This window comes from Homo sapiens, chromosome 20, assembly GCF_000001405.40.
Source record: "Homo sapiens chromosome 20, GRCh38.p14 Primary Assembly".
In the NCBI taxonomy this organism is placed as follows: domain Eukaryota; kingdom Metazoa; phylum Chordata; class Mammalia; order Primates; family Hominidae; genus Homo; species Homo sapiens.
Genome location: NC_000020.11, coordinates 56,848,125 through 56,867,610, shown reverse-complemented (window position 1 = coordinate 56,867,610; position 19,486 = coordinate 56,848,125). Strand labels below are relative to the sequence as shown.

Below are 19,486 nucleotides of genomic sequence, written 5' to 3'. Positions count from 1 at the left end.
ACTGCTGGGAACCGTGCCTGGCATAGAAGGAGATAATAGGTGTTCACTGCATATAGCCGGTGCTCTTTTTGGCCAGGCATCAGCTCAGGCACTTGATAGGCATTGTCTTATTTAATACTTCCAAGACCCTGCTGGGTCAGTCCCATGTTTACCCCGTTTTACAGGTTTAAGAAAAAAAAATCTGAGCTTGGTCAAACAGCCAGTAAACAATAGGGTTGTCACTCCAGCTCCAGCTCCAGCCCCAGCCTGTCTGCCTTGCAGTACTGATGCTTAACCACCATGGTGAGTGTGTGCAGGGGCCACTAATTCGGAAGACAGGGGGCACCGAGACAGCCAAGGCACTGTGGGGGAGGCTGTCTCTTTGGGGTCCTTGGGGCAGGGTGTGGGAGTCAGGGGTAAGGTGGGCTGGCATGATGGAAATTAGCCTCCGGTTGTTGTTTTGATTATTGGCCCTTCCACAAATTTCCTAGTTCCACATGGTGTGCATGAGAACACCTTTGGCTTAAAAGAACTAAGATGGTTTTTATTTCCACACTGAGCTCCAACCAATGCAGTAGGGGTCAATAAATGTGCATTCACTCATTCATCCCGTCTATCAGCCATTTATTGAGTGCCTAGTGTGTGCCAGAGATACTTCAAGGCACTGGGGATGCATCGTTGAACCAGACAGAACCTCCTACCCTCGTGGAGTTTACCTTGAATGGAGGGAGAATGGAGAAAACAGTAAGTAACCAAATAAAACAAACAACCACTTAAATAAAATAGGATCAGATTTCCAAAGCTATTATGGAGGAAGCAAAAAGGCTCAGTGGAAATTTCCAGGAGAAATCTTTAGATGGGGTGATTAGAGAGGGTTTTTTGATATAAAACCTTTTTTTTTTTTTTTGAGATGGAGCCTCGCTCTGTCACCCAGGCTGGAGTGCAGTGGCATGATCTCGGCTTACTGCAACCTCTGCCTCCCAGGTTCAAACAATTCTCCTGCCTCAGCCACCCGAGTAGCTGAGACTACAGGCTCATGCCATCACACCCAGCTAATTTTTGTATTTTTAGTAGAAATGAGGTTTCACCATATTGGGCTCGAACTCCTGAACTCAGGTGATCCACCTGCCTCAGCTTCCCAAAGTGCTGGGATTACAGGCATGAGCCACTGCGCCCGGGCCATACGTTTTTGTTTTTGTTTTTGAGACAAGATTTCTCTCTGTTGCCCAGGGTGAATTGTAGTGGTGCGATCTTGGCTCACTGCAACCTCCACTTCCCAGGCTCAAGTAATCCTCCTGACCCAGCCTCCTGAGTAGCTAGGATCACAGATGCATGCCACCACACGTGACTAATTTTTATATTTTTTGTAGAGATGGGATTTTGCCATGTTGTCCAGGCTAGTCTCAAACTCCTGGTCTCAAGCACTCCACCTGCTTCAGCCTCCCAAAGTGCTGGGATTACAGGCATGAGCCACCACACCTGGCCAAAATTCTTACTTTGCATTAGAGTTCACTTTATGGTGTACATCTTACGGGTTTGGATAAACATATAATGACATGTGTCCACCATTATAGTATCATACAGAGTAGATTCACTGCTGTAAAAAGCTCCTGGATGTCAACGTATTCCCCCTCCCATCCCCCCATTTCCACAAGCCCTGGCAACCACAGATCTTCTGTCTCTATACTTTTACTTCTTCTAAAATCTCATAGAGTTAGATTCCCATAGCATGTAACCTTTTCAGACTGAATTCTCTCACTTAGCCATATACATGTAAGTTTCCTCTATGTCTTCTCATGGCTCAATAGCTCATTGCTTCTTTGTGCTGGATATTCCCTTGTCAGATGGTACCAGAGTTTGTTCATCCATTGGGTCTTTTTATAAAGAGCCCATGCAACTGCGTGAGAAGTAGGCAGTCCGCTACCCATTGGCTGATTGTGGATCCGCACTTCCTGAGAAGGAAGAGGGCAGGTTGCAGAGCAGCAGAATGAGTCCATGTCATGCTGTGCTCTTGCCCTCTGTGCCACTGTCCCCATCCCCCAACACAGCTCCATTCCCCAAAGCCATCACTACTGGGCGCAGCCAGGGACCCATAGGAGTCAGCCTGCAAATCCTCACAGACCGACCGAGGATGCTGGAGGCCCGACTTCACATGAGACCCCGTGGAATGGCAACACAATGAGAAATAAAATCACAGAAGCCGCTCTTCAGGAGGAAATTATCCTCGAAACCATTGCCACATTTGACAATAACACCCAGTCAATTTTTCCATGCTGGTGCCCAGCCCACAATCGTGTCCTGCTGGAAACCCGGCAGACCGGCCTTTGAAGATGCCTGTTCGGCTCTGGAGTGTGATTCAGAGTCGGGCTTGATGGCTCTGTGTGTGAGCATGTTCTCAGACAGGCTGCCAGAAGCTCCGCATTGTTTTAGGATCCCTTCAAACGCGGCCAATAAATCAGACTCATTCAAAATGTACACTGGGGAGAAGCTTGGCCTAACAGGGATGGTGCTGAGCAGCTCTCATCACCACATTTCAGATCAAGGGCAGTCCAGCCTCCCCCTGCTTTTCCATTTTGCTAAACTCAATTTTGAGAGCTCGGGTGTTTGCCACCCAAGCTGGGAAGTAGGGCAGGAATAGGCTGGTTTGCAGACCAGGCTCAGAATATACAGAAAGTGGGGAGGACACAGCCCCAGATGCCAGGGCTTTAGGTTTCCGACTGTAAAGAACCCACTCCTGGGTTGATGGCATATCAGAGCTTAGAACAGGGGCTGATGGAGAGGCAGGGATGTGGAGGGACTCAGAGGGAAGTCCCCCAGCCAGGTACCAGGCTGAGGACCCCAGTCCACTGCCTGTGACAGTGACCTTAGGGAAGTGGCTGACCCTCTCTGGGTCTAGATCTCTGGTCTGTGAAATGGAATAATAACCATGGTGCCCACCTCCCAGGGTTTGCTTGTTTTTTAGGGGGTGGATTTTGTCCTTCCTTCCTTTAAGAAAAAAACAGCTTTATTGAGGTATAATTAAGATATCATAAAAGTCATCCATTTCAAGTATGTAGTTCAATGAGCATCAGTTTGTGTGTGTGTGTTTGTGTGCGTGTGTGTGTATGTGTTTTTGTAGATGGGATCTTGCTATGTTGTCCAGGCTGGTCTTGAACTCTTGGCCCCAAGCAGTCCTTCCACCTTGGCTTCCTAAAGTGCTGGGATTACAGGTGTGAGCCACCGCACCTGGCCGAGCTTCAATTCAGACAGTTGTGCAGCCACCTCTCCAGTCCCATGTAGAACACCCCCAACCCCCGTCAAGTTCCTTCAAGCCTCTTTGCATCAGTGGCTGTTCCCACTCCAGCCTGAAGCAGCCACTCTGGTTTGTGTTCAGAAGGTGAAGCGTGGAGTGCCTTGTTCAGCCAAGTTCTCTGTGAATGTGTGTAGATACATTTTAAAGGCACCTAGAATCGGCAGGATCTTTTCTCAGGTAGAACCATTCACACTATCACCTAGGTTTGTGGAGTGCACAACCTGCACAATCATCCAGGGCAGCCTTGTTTTTTTGCTTCAGTCACTGTCAGTGATTTTTCTCTAAAAATCATATTTCCTGGGGAACATGCCCCCGATACAACAGAAATTGAAATGGAACTGAAAATTCTGAAAAAGTATGACCCTAATTTGCTCAAAAATGTGTATGTATATCCCAACAAATAAAAAATAAAAGACTTGAAGAAAATGTACCAACCTTTTTACAGTGGGGTGACAGATTTAGGTATGATATTAACTTTTTTTCTTTCCTGCATTTACCACATGTTCTATAAGATACATGAAATATTTATAATGGAATGTGTTATTTGGTTGAAAATGGCAATAATGCATTCATTCTTTTCTTCCGTTTTCAATACGGGTGGATTAATTCTTATGGCAACATCATAAAAAATATTTCGAATCCTCAATTAATTTTGCTTTTGGAGCAAAGCGAGAAATAATAAACAAAATGGTCCATGCCTCTGTTCTGCACGTTAGCATGAGTGTGTGTGAACACACACACACACACACACACACACACACGCATGCACGATACTAGATGAGACTTTTCCACAAGATGATTTTTTGAGCTTGGCCAAGTGAGATGCTGCAAGACAAATCTTAATTGTCAAATTGAATTAAATGTCCTTTTACTTCTGGCTTCTCCCTGACAAGTTCAAACATAAAAATTTCCTACTTCTTCAAAGGAGATCACCTCTCCATTTATAAGGAATTAGACATTTCCCTACTATAAATTCTCCGCATATGGCAGGCACTCGTAAAAATCAGTTGGTCATTGAATGAATAAAATACTTATTTTTGAACTGTCTTAAAAGCAGTCTCTTTCCGTGATTATTCTGGAACAGTTCTTCTTAGAGAGCTATTTTTGATTCATCAGCAAACATTCTTCAGGTCTGTTGGAAGGGCTTTCTTTATACCTGATATGAAAGAGTATCCTTCAGCAGGAAACTGATCATTGGATGAAAAAATAAAAACCCTAAATTTTTCAAAAGCATTTTTTAGTTAAATACAATTGGCAACATGGTATTAAATGTAATGCAATGCTAATTCTAATTAAGTGTAATGGATATTAAGAGGTAAGTACACACGCAGTCTCCAACTACAAGGAATAGAACATTAGTTGTATTATTATTGCTAGTCCTCTTGCTTGATTAGCTATTTTCTTAAAAAAAAAAAAAAACACCATTATGTGTCCAATCTCATAAAGTATAGTTTGAGTTCTGTTTATGCTTGAGGGGATGTAGGGATCCTTCTCCCTCCCTGGGACTTTCTGGGACAGTAGTTTCTCCTCAGGTGCTGATTTTGTCCCCTAGGAGACGTTTGTCCTGAGATATCTTTTGGGGAGAAGGGAGCCAGGGACAGCGGAGGAGAGGTTTCTGCTGGGATCCAGGGGGTAGAGGTCAGGGAGGCTGCTGCGGCTTCTACAATGCACAAAAAAATCCCCATCACAAAGTATGATCCAGCCCAAATATTATTATGCCCAAGTTGAGAAACCCTGTGTTAAACCAAATGACAATTAATATTACAAAACCCATTAAAATCATGATTTTACTACCAACATGCTCATTTCCTGGAAGACAAAAGCATGTACTCTTGAAAAACATCAAAAATGACAACTGGTTTGTCTCGGGGGAGGGTCAAAGTATGCTTTTGGGGACTCAGTCCTAGCGCTGTCCATTGATCTCATTAGAACTTCAACTTCATCCAAGTTCTCAAAAGACAAACAATCAAAAGCCCTCTGTTCTCTTCATACCTCATCTTTCTTTGCCCAACCAAACCAGGACCCCAAAGTGGGGGGTCAAAATTCTGAGGTAAGACCCCAGCAATCAACAAGAAACTCTGAGCTGCAGATGAACCCCATGGATAAGCTTATAACTCGGTTCAGGGGAAACTCCAAGAGTCTCTCATCGTGTCTGGACAGTAGGCGATGGAGGGTGTGGATTTTCTCCTTTCTAATTATCTGCATTTCCTAAACTGCCTACCACAAACATGTACTGCTTTGCTAAAAAGAGGAAAAGACCGTCAGCCTAAACCCCTCTTTCCATTTCCCAGCCAACTCAAGAAAGAAGGAAACTCCATAAAATATTGCCCCAGGCTGGTAGCAGAAGGGTTAATTTCCTTCCAGTAGGCAACAGGGTTAGCGCTGGCACATTCAAGTTCATCCTGCCAGAAGAGACCGGGCAGTAACACGGGCTTAGCCATTCAGGTGACCAGCTACAGAAAATCCACAGGCTACAGGGAGCTCTGCTGGTGTTTGGTTATCGTGGAAACAACGTGTAGGGAGCAGTCACTCACAGGCCTCAGACATGGCGCTGCTGCTTCACTGAGCTGTTCCTGGGGCCTTTCCTAAAACCATGCACAGCAGGAGTCATGCACTCCACTTTACAGCCAGAGGCATCAGGCTCAGGACAGAAATGATGTCTCTTGCTGAAGGTCCAACTGTTTCTGCAAATGCCTGGCACAATGTACAAATCTCAGCAATAGGTTTTGAGGAAAAAGAGCCCTTTCTGAATATGCTCCACATATTGAACACTGAGACAGCCCATGACGGGTTCCCCATCTCCACCCCTCCTACGAGGCTGCTCTGTCAAGCCAGAGTTTCTCCCATAGCCCAGCCCCATGAGCATGCCCTGGATGGCACGCCCCGGGGTGGGCTGAAGTCTACATCAAAGCAACGAGCTGTGTGGGTGACTCTGATGTGGCTGAAAGCTGAGGACCCCTGGAATATGTCGAGGTCTTTCCTTTTCAGCCCAGATTTCATAAGCTGGTGACATATCCATGTCTCCGTTTCCTCATCTGTCAAATGAGAACAATAACAGCATCTGCCTTAGAGAACTGCTGTGAGAACACAGCAGATGAACACACATCAACCCTTTACAACAGGACCTGGCTCACAGTAAGTGTCCAGGCAATACAACCGCTTTAATAATGATTATTATTCTGATAATCTCTTACAGGGAATCCACTGCCAGTTTCAAAGGGGGTCCTCTGGGCCCCTCATTTCCTCTCACCACTCTTCTTTCCTCCAGCACATTCTCTTCCTCCTTGCCTCTTTTTAACCGGGACTCCAGCTGCCCCTCCCCTAGGGCATCTAGATGCCCTTGTCTATCTCAGCTTTGGTGCCCAGGGAGGGGAAAAATTAAAAACCTTCCCCATGCAAGCAACCCAAAGGTCCATTGAAGGGTAGATGGAAGAACAAAATGCGCCCACTAATACAATGAAATATTACTTAAGCCTTAGAAGGGAAGAGAATTCTGACACATGCTAAACATGAATGAGCCTTGAGGACATTATATTAAGTGAATAAGCCCGGCACAAAAGGACAAATGCCGTATGATTCCACTTACCTAGAGTTGTCGAATTCATAGAGACAGACTGGAGAATGGGGGTTGCCAGGGGGAGCGGGAGGGAGGATGAGAAGTTAGTGTTTAATGGGTTTGCAGTTTCAGTTTTGCAAGATGAAAACAGTTCTGGAGATGGGTTGCACAACAATGGGAATGAGCTCTTCACGGTGGAACTGTACTCTTCAGAAGTAGCTAATGGCCAATTTCATGTTCTGTGTATTTCACAACAAATACAAATAAAATGAAGAAAAAAAGAACAAAACAAACTTCCCCACCAGATGCAAACCCTTGACTGTCAGCAAAGGGCCACAGTGCTCCTCAGAGCTTTATATGCATGTATTTGGGGGTTCTGGGGTGGACGCCGCCATGCACAGGCACAGACACCCCCAGTCTCCTCTGGGCAGCCTCCGGCCGTGGACCTGCTCTAAGGGGAATGAGGACACACTGACATTTGCAGGGGGCAAAGGAGGGCCCTGTGCAGGTGGGTGTGGAAATCTGGCTGAAGCTTTTCCCCACGAGGAGGGGGATGGGGACGGGAAGGCGAGGGGGACGGGGAGGGGCTGAGAGGGGAGGGGCTGGGAGAGAGCCGGCCTCTCCGGGTGTGCCCCAGGGAGCAGCAGTGTGAGGTGGAGCCTGTTCCAACCCTTTTTAGGGTTTGCCTGGGACTGAGGGGTTCCCAGAACCTGGGACTTGGGATGTAGAATCCAGAGGAGTCCCAGGCAAACAGGGACAAGTTGGTCATTTTCCTTGCTCAAGGCCGCAGCCCTTTTCCCAGACAGTGGTGACTTGAAACCGGTTCCCACCCACCTCCCTTCACTGTTCCCCCCCTCTCCCGCCCCCACCCCGAGGGGAATTCCAGTGTGAGAAGCTTGGGGTGGGTGAGGGGGAGTGAGCTGAGTTTCCTAATTCCTGCTGTCTTGAGAACAGCCTCTGTGGTCCTGGTTCAGCCTGTGCCCAGGCCATTCACTTCCTAATATGGTCCTTTTACATCTACTCGCTTCTGCGACTTTAATAAACTTAGCCTTGCCCATTAAAAAAAGAGATAATTGTTCGGTGAAAAAATAAGCATCCAGGGACACTAGCGAAAGCTCCCATGCCAGCAGCCCCCAGTGGCAGGGCCCAGAGAAGGGGCAAAGGAAACCGTGATCATCTCATTGGGAGGCAGCTTTGAAACTGATGAGATAAAAGGGAGTCCTGAGGCAATGAAGCTTGAAGGGCAGAAAAAGGGTTCGGGGAGGATGGGGGTAGGAGGAGCTGCAAGAAGGAGCAAAGGGGAGGGAAGAAGGTCCAGGGTCCTGGGAGTCACTGTGGCTGGGACTCCCCGCAGGAGCTCAGAACAAGTCCAGGTATTGGGGGTGCACCCCAGAGCAGGGTATCTCTTCCTTCACCACCTGCTCCCGCTGGAGCTCAGAGCTGGGGCTCAACACCCCACCTCCCCCAGGAGACACAGGAATATGAGACATGCTTGGCTGGGGAAATGGAGCCAGTTTCTTGACCAAGACAGGAGCTTCCGTGTGTGGGGGGCACATGGGCTGTGTCCTCAAGGAAGGAAGGCCCTTGCCCTCCCCATGCTCACCACGTGGTGAGGGAGGATAAAGAGTGAGCAAGGAAACCAATCAGGTGTTTCCCAATAGTGCTGCACAGGGATGAGCTACGTGCTTAATGCAGTCGCTGGTGGAGGACAGAAAGGCCTTTCTGAGGGGTGACGTCTGAGCTGAGACCTGAAGGATGAACAGGTCCCTCTGAAGGAAGAGGGGAGAAGCCCTACAGAGAAAGTGTTTCTTGGTCAAACACTGACATTCACTCAGGGCTTAGGGTCCAGTCAGCACAGAGGCAGAAGAGCAAAAAGGACAGAGAGAGGGAAAGGTCAGTGCTGAAGGTGTGCTAGGGTTCTGGCAGGATTGGCTACGTGATTTGCAGAGCCTCTCAGGCAAACTTAGAAAGAATTTCAAGACGAGACAAGATAGCATTAAATCAAGCATGGAGTCCCTCTGTGCAACTGCCCAGGTTGCTTGTCCATGAAGCTGCCTCTGGGTGCAGACCCTGCAGACCCCTGCAAGCTCAGGAAAGTGGATTTCATTTTAAGGACAAGGGGAGCCCTTAGAGGGACTGAGAAGGCAGGGTCAGGTCCTGACCAGGCCCTTTGGGTAAAAGGACCCTTATGGGTAAAAGAAGGCAGAAAGCAGGCAGGAGAGGGTGAGCTCTCTGGAATCTATGACCTTTTCAGGGGGTCTGACATGGTGACTTTGACCCTAATGGTATGCCCTTGTGAATCTACAGTTGTGGATTCTGTAGCCATGCTCAAGGGTGTTTAAGGAAGGAGCCCCTCTAGACAGCACCCGTGGGACCAGGGCCCCACGGGACACGCCTTGGGAAACCCTAACTTGGTGTAACGGTACTAAGAACCCCCATAAAGAACGTGCCATACAGGGAGAAACCAAGGCCCACGGAGGGACCAGAGGTCGCCCAAAGGCACCCTGCAAGTGTTTGACAGAGGCAGAAGCTGGGTGGCAGCCTTGGGAATTCCCACGTATTGGTCCAGGGCCAATACTCACAGAGCATGTGCAGGAACAGGGCCTGGAAACTGGCCAGGTGGCCCCAAATGTCACACTATATAGGCCACACGCTCAAATGGGGGCAGGGAGGCGGTGATCAGAACATCTGAGCATCAGGACTTTTGAGAACAAACAGATGCTGTTCAGAAAGAAGCTCCAGCCCGCTGCTTCTGAGCGAACTTGGGTGTGTAATTTAAATCTTATTAAATAATGAATCTGAATCTGGGTCAGTGGTAATTTATAGATTACCTTCATTAACTGGATAAAAATAATCACCAACTCAACAGTGAGTCATAACAGCAATTAAAAAAAAAGCTACAGCTTAGCACTAGTTGGGGTGTGAGGACATGTCTCCAATTATTTCCCAAAGATCCTGGAGATTGGCAAAAATCAACATGAATTTGGCTGGAGACAACTCCCTTTTTTCCCCTTTAACTTTTAAGCCCTTCAGGAGAAATGTAATCCATATGTTTCAGATTTGTTTACATTTAAACCATCAAAACAGTGTTTGTAAGAAACATTTGATGTCCAGGAACCCTTTCTCCTTTCTTTTTCAAGGCCTTTGGTCTTTGAACCAGGAAGTTGTCTTGTGCCAAGATGAAATGAGGCTGTCCCCGGTGGGAACACTGAATGGGTGCCCTCTCCCACCTTCTCATCTGCCCTCTGGCCATGGAGGTCTGTGGGGTACCAGGGGATCTTCTCAACCCTTGGGTCTCTCCAGAGGACGAGAAGACAGCCCTAAGGAGTTGGCCTTGCCAGCAGTGATCCACCAGGCTCGTGTCCCATATGAAATAACAGCAGCTCGAGATTATTGAGCACCTACTATGTGCCAGGCCCAGGTCTGAGACGGTGTCAACCACTCAGTGAGGGAGTGCTTTTAACATCCCCATTTTATAGATTGGAAAACAGAGGCCAATAGAAATGAAGGAGATTGCCCATGAGCACAAAGTGGAGTGCAGCTGGGTTTGCAGGTAGCATTTTAGATAAGGGAACTGAAGCTCAGAGAGTTTATTAAAACTGCCAAATGGGTTGGAATAAAGGATGGGAAAGATTTCGGAAGAGCTTAATTGCGATACACACCTGTGATGGCTTAATGTTACTGCAGCAGTAAGGAGTACTGGCTACTCCTGCGTCTCTTGTGGGCCTCCCTCCTTCCCGCTCCCTTCTCCTTTCCCTTCCTTTTTCCTTCCTTTCTCCTTCCCATATGTATGGATTTAAATTGCTTCCCTGTGACTTTTTTGTGTGTTTTCTTTCTCTCAACAGAAACGTGGTATTTATTTCTGCATAATTGTAATCATTCTGCACATACAATTTTCTATACCTCTTTTAGCCACTTAATGTTATTACCAAGAATGTTTCCGTATTATCAAAAAAAAATTTCTTTTATTTGAGATGAAGTTTTGCTCTTGTTCCCCAAGCTGGAGTGCAGTGGCACGATCTTGGCTCACTGCAAACTCTACCTCCCAGGTTCAAGTAATTCTCCTGCCTCAGCCTCCCAAGTAGCCGAGATTACAGGTGCACGCCACCACACTCGGCTAATTTTGTATTTTTAGTAGAGACAGGGTTTCACCATGTTGGCCAGGCTGGTCTCAAAGTCCTCACCTCAAGTGATCCGCCTGCCTCAGCCTCCCAAAGTGCTGGGATTACAGGCGTGAGCCTCCACGCTGGGCAAAAATGTTTTCTAAATGTCCCTTCAGTGGCTGCACGTGATTCCCTTGCACCATGAGGTCAGTGACCCACCCCTCGGGGTGAGCATTGGGTGGTTTCCATGTTTTTGTTGTTGTGCTGGAACCTGATGGCCCAAAAACCTCACTGTGCACAGAACCAAATGGAGAATGTGCTTTGACCTTGGTTTCGATTCTAACTCAGGATCTCTGGGGACACATTCTAGATTGATCAAAAAAAAAAAAAAAGTAGCTAACATTCATGGAGCACTTACCAGGTGGCAGGCTCCCAGATGAGTCCGTGTAGTTACTACCTCATTTAGTCTTCACCACGACAGCACACGGGTGTGGCTAAAGTCCCATTTCTCACATGGGAAGACTGAGGCTGAGGGGTAGAAGTAACCTGCCTAAGTGCAAGCCAAATTGCCCCAAATTGCCAAAGCTGGTATGTGGAGGTGGGCATACTATATTTATTTCTTGGAGTGGCCATAACAAATCTGGTGGCTTGAAAAAAAAATTGTTTTCTCGCAGTTCTGGAGGACAGAAGTTGGAAATCAAAATGTCAACAGGACTGGTTTCTTTCAGAGGTGGTGAGAGAGAGTCTGATCTATGTTTCCCCCGAGCCACTGCTGGCTGCTGGCTTCCCTGACTTACAGACGCATTGCTCCAGCCTCTGCCTCTGCGGCCCCACGACCTTTTCCTCATGCCTCTCTGTTTCTTCTCCTTTTCCATCTCTTATAAAGACACTCGCCACTGGACTCAGGGCCACCACGCTCCAAGATGATCTCATCTCAAGAACCTTGCCATTTGCAAAGATTCTTATTCCAAATGGGCTCACATTCTGAGGTTTCAGGTGGTCGTGTCTCTTGGGGGAACCCTTCAACCCACTGCAGATGCATGGTTTCAAAGTGGGCTTCTTGGAGGAGGGAGCAGCCCAGTCATGACCTGGAGGGTGAGAAGGGTCGGTCCTGGGAAGGCAGGGGGAGACGTTCTGGGCAGAAGGCCTGGTGTGATCCTGATGTCCCCCCTCCTCCCTTGCTCAGTGGCTGGACAAACAGCAGCAGCAGCAGCCCCGCCCTTAGGTGGCCACTCTCAGCTCTGACTGTGACACTGAAAACCAGTGGGCAGATGAGCACGCTGTGGCCACCAATGAGCCAGGCAGCTCGGAGTGCTATCAGTCTGAATTGTGGCCATTGTCCTGGGGTAGGGGGATGCTTGGGTTCCAAGAGCAAACCAGGACAAGCATCCCTAAGTGGGGAGCCTAGCCTGGCGACAACCCCCTCCTGTCCCTCAGAGCTCAGAGAGTCCCTGTGCTCTACCTACAAACTCTCAATAAGAACATCATGTCAGCCAGGCACGGTGGCTCACACCTGTAGTCCCAGCACTTTGGGAGGCCAAGGTGGGCGGATCACTTGAGGCCAGGAGTTTGAGACCAGCCTGGCCAACATAGTGAAACCACGTTTCTTTTAAAAATACAAAAAATTAGCCTGGCATGGTGGCGCACGTCTGTGGTCCCAGCTGCTCGAGAGGCCGAGGCAGGAGAATCGCTGGAACCTAGGAGGCAGAGGTTGCAGTGGGCCGAAATTGTGACACTGCACTCCAGCCTGGGTGACAGAGTGAGACTCTGTATCAAATAATGATAATAAAAATAAAGAACACCGTGTTATTGTGTGTTGGTGTTCTCATGTCTCTTCTACTAAAATGAATTCAGGACACTGTTGGAGGAAGTGCAAATTGAGGAGGGCTTCAGGGAAAGCTCTTAAGCACTGCACTCAAAATTTAAAATGCACGACTCTTTCACCCCCAACATGCAGAAAGTATCCAATGTCTTTCCTCCCACCAATGTGCAAGGATCTGTGGGATCCTGCATGTTCATCTTAGCAGCGTTTGAAGAACAAATCCTGCTCAGCTACCTAGAAAGATGTCACCTTGGCCAGCTACACCATAACCTTTTTGGTCTCAGTTTCCTCATCTGTAAACCAGGGTAATAATGGAACCCACTTCCCAGAAGTTTCAGGGGAATTACATGAGTTCATGGGTGTAAAGCGCTTAAAGCGAGCCTGGTGCACAGCAGGGCCTTGAAAATGCTGGCTCGGCACAGAGGTATTTTCTCATTCAACACACACTTGCTGAGCACCTACAGTGAACGGAGCACTGTCCTCAGCCAGGAAATATACAGAAGGGAACAAGACAAGGCCCTTGCCCTTGGGGAGCTTCCAATCCAGTGCAGGAGACAGAAAATAAATAGGGCCATGTGCTGTGCACTATCAGGGAAGGCCCAGAGGACAAGGGACAGAGAGTGCTGGCAGGGAAGGAAGGGCGCTGTTTCAGCAGCGGTCCAGGAATTGCCTCTTAGGAGATAACATTTGAGCAGAAACTGGAAGGAAGAAAAGAAAGAAAGAGGGAGGGAGGGAGGGAGGGAGGAGACAAGGAGGAAGTTCTAACCCAGTAGTTTCCTTTTCTTTTCTTTTTTTTGAGATGGAGTCTTGCTCTGTCACCTGGGCTGGAGTGCAGTGCCGCCATCTCGGCTCACTGCAACCTCCGCCTCCCAGGTTCAAGCAATTCTCCTGCCTCAGCCTCCCAAGGAGCTGGGATTACAGGTGCCTGCTGCCACGCCCAGCTAATTTTTTTTTTTTTTTTTAAAGTAAAGACGGGGTTTCACTATATTGACCAGGCTGGTCTCAAACTCATGACCTCAAGTGATCCACCGGTCTCGGCTTCCCAAAGTGCTGGAATTACAGGCGTGAGCCACCACGCCCGGCCCTAACCCAGTAGTTTTCAACTGGGTGACATTGCCCCCCAGGGGACATTTGCCAATGACTGGAGACATTTTTTGTTGTCACAACTAGGGCCCCCAGTAGTGAGAAATGTTGCTGGCAACTAGTGGATAGAGTCCAGGGATACTGCTAAACATGCCACACAAGACACACCCCTATAACGAAAAGCCGTCCAGCCCAAAATGTCACTAGTGCTGAGGCCGGCAAGGCCAGCTCCAACTCCCGTTTTTTTTCTATGCCTGTATATTTTTTAGTAACAAAAATGACATCATGCCATACATTATAATTTGTAAACTGCAATGATATATTGGAATTGTATGTATCAAAAAAGCATATCGATTTTATAACTCTTTAAAAACTGCATCACAGTCCAGGATATGCAATACTATATAGTAGAATTTACTGATTTACTATTGATGGGCTTTTAGGTTAATTCCAATTTTTCACTGTTGAAAAAAACCCTGGCCAGGCACAGTGGCTCATGCCCGTAATCCCAGCACTGTGGGAGACCAAGGAGGGTGGATTGCTTGAGCCCAGAAGTTTGAGACCAGCCTGCACAACGTGGCAAAACCTTGTCTCTACAAAAAAACACAAACAAAAACTTAACTGAGCATGGTGGCACAGGCCTTGGCTCCAGCTACCCTCGGAGGCTGAGATGGGAGGATCGCTTGAGCCCGGGAGGCAGAGGTTGGGGTGAGCTGTGATCATGCCATTGCACTCCAGCCTGGGTGGCAGAGTGAGACCTCGTCTCAAAAACAAAATCAAAAAACAACCCTCTGATACACAGCCTCATCCCAAATCTGCTTACCCATCCACAACTCTTTCCCTAGGATCAATCCTATAGAGACAATTGTTGGGTTGAGAGTAAGCAGGACTTGAAGGCTGTCACTGCAAACCGAACAAGGCTGTAGTGTAGACCCCAGGCAGCCTGGGTTTGTAGTTACCAGATACTTGACCTTGGGCAGGTTACTTCATTGTGCCTTAGTGGTCTTGTCTGTGAAATGGACTTAAAGATAGTTCCTACCTCTTAACGGTGGTTTGGAGGCCTAGCGAAAGAATGTAAGGCCCACAACACAGTGACCAGTGCCCAGCCTGGGTGTCGCTCTGCAGAGAGCCCCCTACCTCCACCTTACCCCCACTTTACACATTCAAAACAGTGAGGATCAAGACGGCCCTTTTCCCTCCGTAGCTGCCACAGCAGGAGTTATTGACCTCGTTCATCTTTGCCAATCAGATCACCAAAACTGATATCACATTTTAAAAACTGGTAATGTACCAAGGGGTCCCCAGCAGGCGTGTGAATAAAGGGGTAATTTGACAGGTGGCAAGGTGAGGTGGGGGGAGTTAGTGCAGGGGCAGCTGTGTAATGGGCAAACGTCCTGTCTGGAGTATCTGTATCTCCTCCAAGTAAATGCCTAAAAAAGCATCATCTGTCAAAAATCCAGAGTCTAACGTGATCACATCCGCCGGTTACATGGTTAAGACACACGGCATGCTATCTCTCAGTCACTGAAGGGCAAGTAGGTTTATGAGCTGATCTGCTCAACTGTACGTTGTAACATTTTTGGCTGCCTATTTTAGTCAAAGCAATGAGTTTTTCTTGGGAGTGTAAAAGTAGACCTATTGAATAAACAAACTGAGATTCTCGCCTCACCTCATATGGCAAAATGTATTCCTGGTGGACCAAAGATTAAAATGTTAAATAAGCAAGCAAACAAATAATGTAAATAGTGAAACTAAAAGGAATAGAAAAATAACTATGAATTAATATTTTATAATCTTGGGGATAAAAAGAGTCTCAAAGCATGGTACTAAGGACTAAAACCATAAAAAACATTTTTAATTACCTAAAAATTAAACTCTGAATAGCAAATAAAAAAGTATAAGCAAGTTGAAAAATAACTAAATTGGGGAAATATGAAAAAGGTGACAAACATATTGTGTAGAGCCTTAATATGTAAAGAGTAATTGCTAATCAATAACAGACAGTCAAATATACTAATAGGATGTAAACAAGCAAATACTTAAACAAGAGATACAAATGACAAAGGTACATGAAAATATAACCACTTCAATTAATTCAATGCCCACCACATTGTAGATGTTCGGTAAAATAGTTGTTTGTATGTGAATCTGTCCTGAGTCACATAATATAAGCTCACTGAGCCCTTATCTGGAGATCCAGAGAGTTAGGACAAGAACAAAGCTCAGCTCTGTTCCCAGGCCTGCAGAAAGTCACTGCGGCAGCCACTGAAGAAGTCCTTGCCACTTACTAGCTGTGTGACTTTGGCAAGTTCCTTAACTTCTCTTTGCCTAAGAAGTTGAGTAAATGAGAATAAACAGGGATAGTAATAATGCCTACCTCATAAGACTGTTGCAAAGATCAGCAAGTTAATACACGTAAAGTACTTAGAACAGCGCCTAGCTCATCAAAAAGACTCAACTGCAAAGTTCAGAAATAAAGCTAATTGGGAAGCAAGGAAACACCCATCCATTCATTGATCCGCTCATTCAACAGTTAGTCAGTGCCTAGCATGTGCCAGGTATTAGCATGGCTGTGATGGATGCTCATGCCACAATAAGACAGAAACTGAAGCAATCACAGTAAATGAGAAATGATCTCTGTTAGGGAAAACACCTTGTTGGTGAAGGAACCCCAGACTGGGTGCCTGACCTAGTCCCTCCTCAGGGGGAAACGTTCGGGAGAAGGAGCTTTTAGAACTGAGCCCTGAAAGTTAAGTAGGTGTTTTCCAAGAGAAGAATGTTCCAGGCATAAAAAGCAGTCAAGCAAACTCTCAGATGTGCAAGAGAATGCAAAACAATTTCAGTCCATGTCTTCTCACAGTGTAGACCTGTCATTAAGGGGGTGGGTTTGGAGTCAGACTGTCCAAAGTACATCCAGGCTCTACCAACTTTCCTGTGTGGTGTGTGTGTATGTGTGTGTGTGACCACAGACTCTTGCTCGGTTTTTCTCTGTCTCAGTATTCTCACCTGTAAAATGGGGATAAAAGTGGTTTGTCTCCTGGGAGTTGAGAGGTTTGCTGATTTCAGACATGTGACACACCTATCACGGGGCTGGCATGTCAGGAAAGCACTGGACAGGCCACTAGGCTGGAAAGATGACCTTTGGAGGACATTTTAAATCAGGTGTAAACTGACTCCTAAAGGCCACTGCTCATAAGTGAGGAATTTCCACAACCAGAAGCTGGCCTTCTCAAATCACCCTCGGGATGATTCTAATTCAAGGTTTCTCAGCTACCTCACTTCACTGTCAACATTTAGAGCCAGATTATTCTTTTTTTTTTTTTTTTTTTTTTTTTTTTTTGAGACAGAGTCTCACTCTTGTTGCCCAGGCTAGAGTTCAATGGCATGATCTTTGCTCACTGCAACCTCTGCCTCCCGGGTTCAAGCAATTCTCCTGTCTCAGCCTCCCGTGTAGCTGAGATTACAGGTGCCTGCCACCAAGCCTGGCTAATTTTTATATTTTCAGTAAAGGCGTGGTTTCGCCATGTTGGCCAGACTAGTCTTGAACTCCTGACCTCAAATGATACACCCACCTCAGCCTCCCAAAGTGCTGGTATAATGGGCGTGAACCACCGTGCCCGGCCAAGCCAGATTATTCTTTAACTTGGGGTAGGCTAGGGGTTGTCCCGGGCACTGTAGGATGTTCAGCAGCATCCCTGGCTTTACCCCAGCTGCCAGTATTGAGCGCACCACCACCACCACCACCACCACCACCAACAACAACGACCCAGTTTTGATCACCAAAACTGTCTCCAGGCATTGCCAAATGCCTCCTGTGGGCAAAACCACCCCATTAGGATCCATTCCTCCAAGCCAGTGCAGGATCTTCTGGGAAAAGCCCAGCTTGGTAGGGTAGTCCCTTCTACATCAGAAAGAAATGACCACAGTGGCGATCGACTGCTCACTGGATGTCCACAGGCCAAATTCAAGCCTCACATGTGTTTTCTTTGACCCAGGAGACATTTAACAATCTCCTTCAATGGGCTGACAATAGATTCTTAAAAATCAAGCCATTTCACATAAAAATCCAGCTTTCTGGCTTCTCTTGAAAAATGAGGATTCCTGGTAACACTGGATCCGCATTCCTCATGCAGCAGCAACGAGGTTGCATCTGCTGCACTCAGGGATACAGGCTTCCTGTTTGCCACAGTCCTCGGCACTCTATACCATATGTGCCCTATATTTGAAGGACCAGAGTCACTTTCTCTCTATCCCATCCCATTTTCACATTTATACAACCTTGCTGGCGGCTGAACATGTTTGAATTGAGATCTCCTGATCTAATGTGCTTGCCTGCACACACACACATTTGCACACATTACATATACACATGCACACAACCATATAAATATATAAACACATACACATGCGCACACATGCACATGAGTATACATATAACAACATGTATACACACATAGGCATACATGCATAGACACATAAATGCACATACACACCTACATATATACGCCTGCACACATGCACACACACATATACATGTGCACACATGCATACATGCATGTACACACATATACACATACACACGTGAACACTACCTACACATATGCACACACATACATATGCACACAAACGAATATACACATACATACATACACACATGCATATGTGCACACACCTATGTGTATAGACATATCTATATGCACACACACATGCATGCACGCAGACTCTCACACCCACGCAGACCCCATGGCTCACCTCCGCCGTCCACTGCAGCCCAGGACACACAGCATCCCTGATGCACACACCTGGATGTCAGGCTCTGACCTTTGAAGTCACGACTCCCACCACGGGGGCCCTTTGCATGTCACGCTGGATTGATGGATGGGACAGCTCAGCTCTCAGAAACTACCGCGTGTGTTTATTATGGCAATGAGTGTGGGCCGGGCCTGCTTCTGGCTTGTGTAAGTGTCAACTGGTGACAACCTGTGCTCTACAGAAGGCAGATGTCAAGGGGCTGGGGGCAGTGGAGTCACCGCCCGCACTGTGGAGACCACCCAGAGGCAGCACTCACACTGGCCCTGGCTTCCCCGGCCTTTGGCGAGAAAACTAAAGGATGGAGAGGGAGACATGGTGCCACCAGGACAGGCCTGCCACAAAGGCTGCAGCCCGTCGTGAGCCAGGCCAGGAGCAGCCAGACATTGCCCCCTGAGAGCTGCTTCTGCCTGGAAGACTCCACCGGCTCCGGGCAATAATTCAGTTCCATTCTCTCCAGAAGATTCCCAGGCCCAGCTCCTGTCCCCCTTGAGGCCACATGCTCAATCAGAAGGACAGTTCCTCACCTCTGCTTGAATAATAGTGACAATGTACTGAGGTCTGACAGGTACCAGGCACTTTCTGTTCACTTCAAATACGTGATCTTGAGTTTTCACCACAACCTATGAAGAAGGTGACTTATTATCCTGATTTTGTTGAAGCTTAAAGTGTTGTCATAACTAAGATTTATTGAACACTTAGTATGTGCCGAGCACAATATTAAGCACTTAGCAGACGTCATGTCAATTCATCTTTTCTACAACATTTTGAAAGATGATCTGTTATTATTCCCACTTTATTTTTTCTACTTATTATTTTGTTTTGTTTTGTTTTTTGAGGCA

General features: G+C 47.1%; 1 annotated feature.

Annotated features, from left to right (window-relative positions):
- Window positions 18,897-19,042: a silencer, noted in NCBI's record as "fragment chr20:55423625-55423770 (GRCh37/hg19 assembly coordinates)". NCBI's record gives its function as "represses an EF-1alpha promoter that drives an FKBP-Casp9 reporter gene in an ReSE screen in HepG2 liver carcinoma cells {active_cell/tissue: HepG2}" and the evidence as "EXISTENCE:reporter gene assay evidence [ECO:0000049][PMID:32094911]".